Source organism: Homo sapiens, chromosome 5 (assembly GCF_000001405.40).
Source record: "Homo sapiens chromosome 5, GRCh38.p14 Primary Assembly".
NCBI classification, from domain to species: domain Eukaryota; kingdom Metazoa; phylum Chordata; class Mammalia; order Primates; family Hominidae; genus Homo; species Homo sapiens.
Genome location: NC_000005.10, coordinates 100416788 through 100428892, shown reverse-complemented (window position 1 = coordinate 100428892; position 12105 = coordinate 100416788). Strand labels below are relative to the sequence as shown.

Below are 12105 nucleotides of genomic sequence, written 5' to 3'. Positions count from 1 at the left end.
AGATTCTTTTGGAAAGTTATTATAAACAAGAACATGTTTCCCTTTTTAGCTGAATGACAGTATATCTGTTTAGCATGAATACTTAAAAGCAGCTTGAATTTCATTGTTCATGCTCATCATTTACAGTTTTCTATAGCAATATTATTTTTTCTGGAATGTGCCTTAGAATGCAGACAATAAAGGCTGAATGAGAGAAATGTTAGGCTAGGCTTAACAAAACACATTGCAATTATTGTTTCTTCAATTATGTCTAAAATGATTGCTTATAAAACAAAATTACATGATAATATTATCTTAAAACCAGCTATATTCAATAATTGTCTTCTCACTATCTTTCTAATGTGTTAGCACTCATTCTATACAGTTTGTATTAATATATCTTATACTCTACCTCTATCCCTCTTATCAGGCTTCACTTTAACTAGATATTTAGGATATTATCTTTACCTGGGAATGAAATTATGTGATTGGAGGAAGAGATTCCCTATAATTGGCAATAGGTTTCCTCCTCTAAAATGTTAGGTCTTTTTGTTTTCTTCTTCTTCTTTATTCTGGGATGTGGATGTGACCTCTTGGTACTGATTGAAATTTATAGTGTTGTATACCACTGTCAACTTTCCCAATGTCTGACAGCTTAACAGGGCCCCAATTGCAGCCACTGCTGCCCACCTTGTTCTTCAGCTTCACTTCTTGAAACAACCTTCTCCACGGTTTCATGAGAGCATCTGCTTTTCACTGCATGGTATTTGACTCCAAGATTCACACCTGCAGTTCTGATATCTTTTATTTATGCTCTATTATTTCTGCTTGAATAACCTACTTTTACTAGAAATTTAGCCTATGAAACTTTGAAGATACAGGGCTAAAATCCACCTATGTGGCCCAAGTACCACATGTCTTGATAAGAGAAAGATTGTTTTAGATTCAAAACACTAAGATTGTTTTCAGTCTAGTATTTATGAATTTGTTTTTCATATTAAAAATTAAAAAATCAAATGAAAAAATAAATGAGGAAAGGATAAAAAAAGAAAAAAGAAGAAAGCACAAGGAAGGAAGGGAGGAAGGGAGGGAGGGAGGGAGGGAGGGAGGAAGGAAGTACTAACTGAGGAGCCCACTGTGAGGACAAAGCATCAGCAGTGTCATTGCCAGCAACCTTGGCAGCAGCAGGAGTCAGGGATATTCCAATAGGCATCCATTTTTCAAGCATTGTTACCAGTCTTGGCACAGTCATTGACAACATTAGAGGTGTCATCAATACTTTCAAAACCTCTTTGTAGGAACAGCCCCTTCAGCAGACACTGTTGGAAATTTCAATGATTCCCTTCAGAGGACTTGGTAATTTAAAAAGTTCAAAGTAACTAAAGAAAACGATAGATGTCATATGAATTATTCCTAAAAGTAGGTTTTGGATCACATACAAAACATCCTCTAGGAACTTGCAAAACTGAAAGAAATTGATAAGCATGGTTGGAGATTCTGTAAAATGTGTAGGAATGGTGTAAAAATAATGCTATGTTGTAACATTTATTGTGGCTCCTTATTTACTTCTTATCCAGTGCACCTTACGATATGCAAGCCACCTGAAATTCTGACACTTAAATAGTCTGTTGTTCTTTATTTTCTTGCTGTGATGGTAAATGGATACTCAGCAGGATTTGGGATTTAATTTCTCTGGGAAGATGCGAACAAGTGTTTCAAGTTGTTAAATTATTCATCCAAATTCCTCACAGTAGGTAATCTTTGCTTCATGCTGTAATGTTTAATATTAGCTATTTTTTCATAGTGTTAATGTAAAATTGCTTTCATTAATACAAATATTCCTTCATAATTTCCCCAAATCTATATGGCACTGTCATTCTTTTAGTATTCCAGGTTACAAATTTTAAAGTCATTTTATTTTTATTTATTTATTTATTGAGACAAAATCTCACCCTGTAGCCCAGGCTGGAGTGCAGTGGCGCTATCTCGGCTCACTGCAACCTCCGCCTGCTGGGTTCAACCGATACTCCTGCCTCAGCTTCCTGAGTAGCTGGGATTACAGGCCCCTGCCACCATGCCCAGCTAATTTTTGTATTCTTAGTAGAGATGGGGTTTCACTACATTGGCCAGGCTGGTCTTGAATTCCTGACCTTGTAATCTGCCTGCCTCGGCCTCCCAAAGTGCTGGTATTACAGGCGTGAGCCACCGTGCCCAGCCTTAAAGTCATTTTTGACTACATATTATTGTCACTCTACATCCCACATGCATGAAAGTCAGTAATTAAAACATCTCAAATCACTAACATACAATTTTCCATCTAACTCTCACAAGTAGAACATGAATTGAGATGATTAATTATTTCCATTTCTGGATCATAATAATAGCTTCTTAAGAGTCTCTCTAACTCAATTTTTCCCCTTTTTAATTATCTGCCCATATTACTGCTAGATTGATCTTCTCAAAACTAATTTTGTCTTGACATATAATAGGAGAAAAATAATTTCTCTGTTCAAAAGCTTATAATATCTTTATGTTGCCTATCATATTAAATTTAAATTCATGTCTGATTTGTGTAATTTTTTAAATAATCTGGTTCTAGATTATTTTTCTCAATTTAGTCCATCATTTAATCAGGAAGTCTTTCAGTGATTTAGTAAGTATAAACTATTAATTTGGTAAGTTCTACCTTTCCAACGAGAATGTGACCTTATTGATGGCAAGGATAATGTCTAATTTTTTCACAGAACTTATAGTAATTTCAAAAATGTAGTTTTTAAAATGATCACAGATTTATAAATGAACTTTGAAAAAATAAAGTCATTTCCAATGTTGCTGAAATATTTATTTCAAATAAACTAAAGTAATGTGAAATAAAGATGAAAGCAAAATATTCGTATGGTTCAAGAATTGGTATTATGTCATTCATATTTTAATGTTCTTTGTTCATAGATGAAAAATTAGCTCACCATGTTTCCTAAAAGACAAAATGCTTTTCTATCATAAGTTGTTTACAGGCTTGATTTCAAACCTCTGTCCATTGTCTTTATATGAAAACTGCTTTGTATATTTCAGAATAGTTGTGGAAATTCCAATGCACAGCTTACACCTTCTTTGATAATTGCCTACTGCATTGTCATGCATGTCTGGAATTGGTTCCTACTGGTGAGTTTGTGGTTTTGCTATTTCAAGAATGAAGCCGCAGACCTTCGCGGTAAGAGTTACAGCTCTTAAAGATAGCGAGGACCCAAAAAGTGAGCGGTAGCAAGGTTTATTGTGAAGAGCAAAAGGACAAAGCTTCTACAGTGTGGAAGGGGACCTGAGTGGGTTTCCACTGCTGGCTGGGGTGGCCAGATTTTATTCCCTTATTGTCCCCTCTCATGTTCTGCTTCTGTCCTATCAGAGTGCCCATTTTTCAATTTTCCCCACGATCGGCTACTTTTAGAATCCTGCTGATTGGTGCATTTTACAGAGTGCTGATTGGTGCATTTTACAATCCTCTTGTAAGACAGGAAAGTTCCCCAAGTCCCCACTCGACCCAGGAAGTCCAGCTTGCCTCACCTCTCAATTGCATATGTTAAGCTCCCTTAAAAGGGGAATCCATTTAGAATTTAATTGAACTTAAATAGTGTTAGTATTGTTTTGTTTATTTATAACACATCTTCTTCAATCTACTTTTCAAAATACATTTTTTATAATGAAAAAACCAACTTCTGCTCACTTAAAAATAACTTTATGTTTCATTTCTCACTGTCACAGCTTTTGAAGTATGCTCTCAGATGTTTAGTTTATGTTTTGTATTGTGTAGGGAAATGCATTTATTCAGACAGACATTAAAAACTTTAAACTTAATCCTATTAATCACTCACTGTGAAGGTCTGCAGCTTCATTCATGAAGTCAGCTAGACCACGAACCCACCAGCAGTAACCAATTCTGGACACATCTTGGGGGCTCATCCGGGATATCGCTACGGAGTGAGTGCCATCAGACCCCTTTCACTTGCTCTTCTGTCCTGTTTTTCCTAACAAGTCCTATTAAGATTTAATCACCTCTATATAGGCCTTATATGTTATTAAATCCATTGCTTTTAACCTATTGAGACTATTTGTTTCTTTTCTCCATTGTGCACTCAAGTAAATGCTATTTTGTTGACATTTTATACTTAACATGTTGGAGATCAGGTTTATTACTTTTACCCAGCAAATTTTTCATTTCTCCAACACCTGGAAGTTCTCAGTCATACTGAAGCAGCCTTGTTGTCTGGGGTAAATACCAGGGTTCTTGGTCTCATGGCCAAGGAAATCAAGGTCATGGACACACACACACACGTAGAGTGAGATTGGAGCAGGAGCTTAATAGGCAAAAGGAAAGAACAGCTCTCTGTCACAGGGAGGGGTCCTGAGTGGGTTTCCAAGTTGTAGTAAAAAGTCAGGGATTTTATAAATGGGCTAGTGAGGAGGGGTGTCTTATCTTCCTAAGGCCTGAAGATTTAGTTGGAATCAGGTGTGCTATGTGCATAGCACAGAGTTTTCTATCAGCTCTCACCCAATTCCTTGATTACATAGGTAGACTCTTAGTTTCTGCTGCTCTATTTTGCTTATCTGGGAGGGAGAGTTTCTGTGTCTGTTCCAGACATCTTCTCATCTTCTTGCACAGCTGCAGGGATCCTCCCCTGCCCCCCTGCTTTTAGCTTCCTTATCTTAGTGTGCTTAAAGGGAAAGGAATGTGGTTATTAAGGCCCATTGTTTTTACTAGGGCCCATTTTATGAATGTGAAGTTTGGTGATTACCGAGGAGACTCCCCCACCTCTTTCTGTGCCCAAGTTGTTTATCTGTGTTTTTTTTTTTTTTTTTTTTTTTTTTTGAGGCGGAGTTTCGCTCTGTCGCCCAGGCTGGAGTGCAGTGGCGCGATCTCGACTCACTGCAAGCTCCGCCTCCCGGGTTCACGCCATTCTCCTGCCTCAGCCTCCCGTGTAGCTGGGACTACAGGCGCGCGCCACCATGCCCGGCTAATTTTTGTATTTTTAGTAGAGACGGGGTTTCACCGTGTTAGCCAGGATGGTCTCGATCTCCTGACCTCGTGATCCGCCCGTCTCGGCCTCCCAAAGTGCTGGGATTACAGGCGTGAGCCACCGCGCCCGGCCGTTTATCTGTGTTTTTACAGCCTTTCAGGTTGTTCTTTGTTAGAAGAGAAATGATTTCTTTGAACTTCACAAGGTTAGAAAGGGAGCCATTTCTGAGCTGCTTTTTGTTAGAAGGAAAGTATTCTGCCGGGGACTCTCTTTACTCTGTCTACCCAAATAATTTATTTTTATCTCCTATAACAAACACCCCCCTCAGGAATGAAATTCCTAACTGCTGTTACGGGGAATTGGGCGTCGACTTACTCTGGCTACTTCCTGCTGGAGAGGGGCGTGGCATGGGAATAGCAGCTAGGGCTCCTCCTGGGTCAATTTAAGGGTATGCAGTAGAAGGTCAGTTTAATTTTCAGCTCCTTTTGCCACACCATTTAAAGCTTGATGGTTTCTAGGTGAGAAGAAGTAAACTTTACAAGGAGGTTTAGAATATAGGGTTAAAATATGAGTATTAAGACTACCATTATTAGTGGGGGCACTATAGGCCATAACCATGACAACAGAGTTTATTTGATACCTGTAAGCCATTTAGATGGGTTGTGCTGTTTTAAGTGAGTGTATGGGGCTAGGCTTTTTTAAACTTTCTTGATCTTACTTTCCCAAAAAAAGAAAACCTTGGGGTTATAGGCTACCTAGCAAGATTTATAGGATAATTGCCCAGCCAGAACATTGTTCGAGATTTTTACATTACCTATCACTTTCTGTTTTGTTTGAGCCACAGCTGGAGATGTGGTTGGATTACAAGAATTAGCATGGTTAGTTTAAAATGTAGACAAGAATTTAAAAATGACTAATGAGACTTGAATCCAATGACAGATGTATGATAAATTTTGAAACATAATTTCTGTCTCTCTAGTCCTCATTTTGTTAAAAAACAACTTATGATAGGACTTAGCTGTTTGCAAAGTAAACTTTAGTTGTATACTTGGCCTGATTATTTGCATAAAATGAAGCAAGAATAATCACCTCTATATAGGCCTTTTTGATTGGCTTTGATGGAACTCTCTGTTCCACAAGGAATTTCAGATCGGACTTTTTAAAACCAAGCCCAGCCATGGGTTTGTATCTACAAATAACTGTGAGTTGGATAAACTTTTTTCTTCCTGAGATTTTAGAAGCATGGAGTTCCTAGGTCTGTTAGAAAGTGACATTTTTTTGCTCACCACAGGTCAGTAATCTTGTACAGAGACTGTGTAGACAGGTAGGAGGCCAGTTTTCTTAAGGGGGTTTTATTGGCTTTGCAAATCAAGCTTGATTCCTTAAAGGGAAGCACACCCTTCCACTCAAAGCCTCCACAGAACAGTTTCTCCAGTTGTATCTTGTTGCAAAAGAAAATGGATACTTGTTGTACTGATGCAAACACCTATATTGTTGTAATTCAAGAATACTTACAACTAGTTTCCAAATTCTAGAGGAACTAGGCACAGAGAAACAAACACGTTTTAAATATCGTTCACAGGAGTATAACTTGTTTAGTTGTTAAAAGCCTTTAAGAAAGTTTCCTTGACTTTGAAAAACAAAATAATAATCAGCAGTGTTCCAAGCATAAATTAAGAATATTGCTTTAATTTTCTATTAGTTCATTCCATTCTGTTAACTCTTGTTCTGCTTGATATTCCTAAACATTTTAGCTTTTTATGAGTCCTGTACATTTTTCTGTTATCAGAAACCTGCATTGAAGAGCACCTGTTAAAGTTCCACAGCTTGATTATAAACCATCTTTTGAAGACAATTAAAACAAGACAAATGTCTATAAATGACAAAATGTTCAGGGTGGTTACAGTCAAGAACATGATTGACAAATTTGGTTATTTCCATGGCTTACAATAACCCAACATAATAACCTTAATTGTGATTAATAGCACATATTCAGACAATAGAACCTTAGACAGCCCAGACCATTTTGGAACATATGTTGATATTATTCCCTAGAATATAACCTGAAGAGTATTAAACATCATTTTGGCAATTCCATGTGCCTAAACATGTTAAATAATCCTGTTTACCTCTTTTCCAGATGCTCCAGGGGTGCTCTGCAGCACCCAAAAGCTAGGGGTCAGGAAAGACAACCCTGAGACTAAAGTTTGATTTTAGGAAGCCTGTTAAATATGTTCAGAATTTAAAACACTTGATATTATGAAGTAGAATTTTAGATTACCATAAGTTATTTGTTTTGCCAAAATGATGAGACAAAAATCTGAAAAAGCAAAAACCATTCATCAGCATTTTTAATTACATGAAAATCCCATTCAAGAGAGAAAGTTAAATTTTACCCATGCATTAGTTTGCTATTAAAATTAACTCTAATTTTTAATGAAACCTTGTAGACAATCCTACATAATCTTAACCAGTTTGACTATGAAGTGAGATTTTCACAAACCTTTTATTAACCTCTACAAATTTTGCTAAAGAGTGGATTGGCATCTTAAGAAAACCTTGTTCTGCTTTTATTATAGTGTTTACAGAAAAAAAAGTATAATACCCTTTTGTATTTAGTTAATATGTTCACACACAGAGTTTCCTTTGAAAGATTAATTTTTACAGTCTTTTCACAATTTGCTTAAACTTTCTACTTTAAAAAGACAATCCTTTATTTCTAGATAAAATGTATATTTCCATGCTTTCTTATAATCTTTAAATAAAAACACATTTTACTGTTTTTTATACACCTTGCAGGTAGATTTCTTTTTAGTAATTTCAATTACATGTCATAATGGTAACTCTTAGAAATTTTCAACTTTACTGTGAAATCTGATAGGTTGTTTTAATTATGTGCTAGATGCAGATAAAGTTTGACTCCTTTTAGGATAGTTACGGGCATGGTAACTTCCCTATGTTCCCAGGCCTTACCAATTGTGAGGCAGGTGAGTTGACAGTTTTTAAAGGCCAAAGAAGAGTTTACAACCTTAAAACATTTAGCAAACCTAGTATCTGGCCTGCATAATTTAGACCACATTTTTACACCTTGAAGACATTTGTATTTTACCAATAATTTCTAGGACTTTTTATTTGTAAAGATTAAAGTCATGTGAACTGAAAAGTAACACAGCTTTTACTTTTCCCTTAAAAATATTTTATTTAAGTGCTTACTGTTCTTAGGCCAATTAATTAGAGCCCTTTTTAATAGATATTACACACATAACACATATGTAACCACACAGATAAACAGAAGAAGATCCAGTAGTTATGAGATTTTTCATTGGCTAGTTTCCTAATTGGATTATTACGCCTCCTAGTGAGACACTCTAAGAACAGGGCTAGGACTACAAATTCCAGGGCCTCATAAAAAGCATAGCCAGAAGACAAAGACAGATTTTGAGAGGTACTTACACACCTCTAATTCCAGGGGTTCCATGAGTAAAACAGATTGTTCCCAAAATGGGATTTGTGGCCCCTTTTCTGTTTTCCCAAGGAGTCCCAGGCCACCAGAAGTCATATTAGGGTCTTTGATGCATGCACGAAGAGTGGCAAGACACAGTGAAAAAAGTAATTCAGTCGACTGAGGTAAAATCCTTTTCCAGGAAAACAAGATCTGTGAAGAGAAAAACATAAAGGCCTTTTAAATATACTCATAACTTGGATATCTACTTTCACTTAAGCTGAGCACCCTTTAAGACAATCATTTTTCATTAATTAAATCTTTACAGAGAATGCGAACAGTGATTCTTATTATTTCTTTTACCAGTTTGCTCCACTGCCTGTTCACAGTCATGTTCAGGTTCTCCAGTTTTCTCTGGGAGAAAGTGGCTGGGCTCAGGCAAGGACAGGTTTTCGAGTGGACTGCAAATCCCTTTAGCAGAAAAGTTTGGTATTTGAGGAGGCGATTTTACAGTAGCCAGAGCCTTTCCTTAAAGGACAGCAGTCCTGCTATACTGTGTGGGGTGCACACAGTTGTTATTCCCCATGGTTAAGTCAGTAGCCTCTGGTACCAGAAAAGCCACCACTGTAACTGCTTGGAGGCAGGCTGACCATCCTTTAGACACCAGTTATGTTCCTTGCTCAAGCAACCTACTGGCTGTTGAGTTGGACCTCAAGCCTTAGCTTAAACTTCCAGGGCTATTTCCTTCCTTTCCGATACATAGAGACTGAAAGTTTTCCCTATGGGATGACTGAGGGCTGGTGTTTTAAGTAAGGTACACTTTAGCTGGTTAAAGGCTTTTTGAGCCTTAGGTTCCCCCAAAAGGGGGTGGGGGTGAGTTTTAACTGTTTGACTTTCTCTTATGAGGTGGTACAAAGGGTAAGCCATTTTCCTGTACCCAGGTACTCACAGTCTGCAATATCTTGTAATATCCCCAGAATCCTCTTAGTCCTCTTTTAGCTTCCATATCTTAGTGTGCCTGTAGGGAAAGAAATGTGCTTATTAAGTCCCAGTGTTTTTACTGGGGCCCATTTTATGAGTATGTAGTTTCGTGATTAACTGGGAGACTCCCCCACCTCCTTCTGTGCCCCAGTTGTTTATCTGTGTTTTTACAGCCTGATCTTTCAGGTTGCTCTTTGTTAGAAGAGAAGTGATTTCTTTGAACTGCATGAGGTTAGAAAGAAAGCTACTTCAGAGCTGCTTTTAGTTTGAAGGAAAGTTTTCTGCCAAGGACTCCCTTTGCCCTGTCTACCCAAATAATTTCTTTCTATCTCCTGTAACAATATATTTCCCTCTTTCTACTCCAGATAATTTGATAGATAATTGTCTTCTTTAAAGGTCATAAAATTGAGTGAAAAATATACCTAAAATTTATAGTAAGTAGACGTGAGAAAATTCCAGCTGTTCCTATTGAATATTAGTTGATATCTGGTCATTAAATGGACATAATAATATGTTCCCTTCTGTAGAAGTCTGGAAACCTGAGATCTCCAACTCTATCAAGAGGTGACTAAAAGTTAATAGTTCCATCTCTTTTGTTCTCCATTCCCTCATTTGTATAATTCAGTTATTGCAGTATCTCTTGGAAGTCCTTTTAACACTGACACTGGGCATAATTCAGTGGTTGGTGGGGATTCTGTGAGTGCATCTCTGTATCTGAACAATCATGGATAATCAGTATTTGAAATTCTTCTAACAATACTACCTACAAATGCAAGTTTGCCTCAGGTAATTACTTGCCACCTTGCATATATATTTTATATTGATAAATCAAAAGTATTATGACTTTTATCATAGTACACTGAGATATACATTTATTATATAAATATGGATTATTATAATTAGCATTTCTCCTTAAATTCATTTAATTTTTCTTGATTCCAATTTTTTTTTTACTAGTGTGAAATAGGAGATTCATTTTGTCCTCTGAAAATAGAAATCATTTAGAAATCGGGAAAGAAACTATGTTCCCTTGGCAAAATCCCCTGGGCTAAGATGCCAGACTCATTTTTCTTCATTGTTCAGTGTTAATTTGGTTCAGCTTTGTTTGCTGCCAGTGCAGTGTCATTTGAAATCCAGAAAACAAGAAAAGAACTTCCATCCTAGTAAATCAATATATTTGGCCCATGGGGAGTTCTTGACTGCTGAATGTTTGATAATCTATGTATTTACTTCTATTTATGATATAATCATTGGAAAAGTGGCATTTTTAATATAAAGTATATTGAACATATCTCTGTGCAATTTCCTATATAATGTTCAACGTCATACCTCCCTGATCAAGTCAGTTGGCTCAGAAATTTACAGTTATCATTTTTTAATCTCATGAGGAATTTAAAAAATATGAAAAATAAATCAAATCTATGCTTAAAAGAAGAAATGATTCTATTTTCATAACTTCCTATTGAAATCGATGTGTCTAAATACATAATTATTTTGGCCTGGATTCTACAATAGATTTTTATGGAGTACATTCAAAAGGAGATACTATTAGTCAAATTATATTCTGCACATAACTATTTGGCACATGAAAAGAAAAAAAATATTATAGTGGTGTTACCCCTAATGATCTGTTTGGTTTAACTATCATATAAGAATAGTCATCTGTTCTTGGCTTTTATTTCAGTTGCATGAAATTTCCTTTAGAATTGGGTATGTCTAAAAAAGGCTTTTGGAAGAATAAATATTTCTGAAGAAACAGTATATTTAAATACATTTTTAAAGAAGCAAGTTTACAAGAATAAAAAATGATGGCAGCTTCAAAACTTACTGCCCTGCTGTCATTATCCTAATTGCCACTAAGCTACTTTATCTCTCACTTGCCACAGAGCTGCTGAGGCTTAGGGTCTGGTAGCAAGGCCTCAGATTTAAGTGCAGTCTCAAAGAGAGGGTTGGTGTATTAATTTTCCCCACTGGGCTTTATGTCACTTTGGAACAAGTGGAGGGAAGTTTATGATGAAGATGTAAAGAAATCAGATGGACTCCAAAGAGAACCCAGCCTGTGGATATCCTGGATCCCATCCCTCATATTGGGAGAGACTGCATCTTTTTTTTGAGTGTTTCATGGAGGACTAGCTGGTCCTCTGCACCAGAGGAGGTGTGGGACAAAACACTGGCATGTATGTTGAGCTCTCTGTACCCTAAAAATTAGAGTAACATGAAACTGAAAACTTGACTGTTGTCTCTTCTTAGGCAAGGAATACATTGTTTTGCACCTCTCTCCACATCACTGCCATGTCACTCCAGTATTAGGAATGAGCTTTAATGAGAAAACAAGAGAAGGCAACCCATCAGACAGAAAAAGCAAAAGAAGGAGAACAGACACAAATAAGACTGCTGTTAGGAGAAGAATATTTTCAATAGAAGTAACAGTTTCAATTTAACTTCAAAAATTGTATTTTTTTTTTTTTTTTTTTTTTTTTTTTTTTTTTTGAGACGGAGTCTCGCCCTGTCGCCCAGGCCGGACTGCGGACTGCAGTGGCGCAATCTCGGCTCACTGCAAGCTCCGCCTCCCGGGTTCAGGCCATTCTCCTGCCTCAGCCTCCCGAGTAGCTGGGACTACAGGCGCCCGCCACCGCGCCCGGCTAATTTTTTGTATTTTTAGTAGAGACGGGGTTTCACCTTGTTAGCCAGGAT

General features: G+C 37.0%; 1 long non-coding RNA gene across 12 annotated transcripts in view; it reads right to left on the bottom strand.

Annotated features, from left to right (window-relative positions):
- Nucleotides 1–12105, bottom strand: part of LOC105379100 (uncharacterized) — a 45227-nt gene that overhangs the window by 14831 nt on the left and 18291 nt on the right. For 7 of the 12 annotated variants that reach the window (XR_007058886.1, XR_948624.3, XR_007058888.1 and 4 more), the window contains 2 exons: nt 9380–9448; nt 8446–8643 (listed from right to left, as the gene is read on the bottom strand). This is a non-coding gene — a long non-coding RNA (uncharacterized LOC105379100). Of the gene's footprint in view, nt 1–5258; nt 5503–6274; nt 6430–8445; nt 8644–9379; nt 9449–12105 lie in introns of those variants that run through there. The other 5 variants (XR_007058889.1, XR_001742824.2, XR_948625.3 and 2 more) reach the window with 3 other exon arrangements.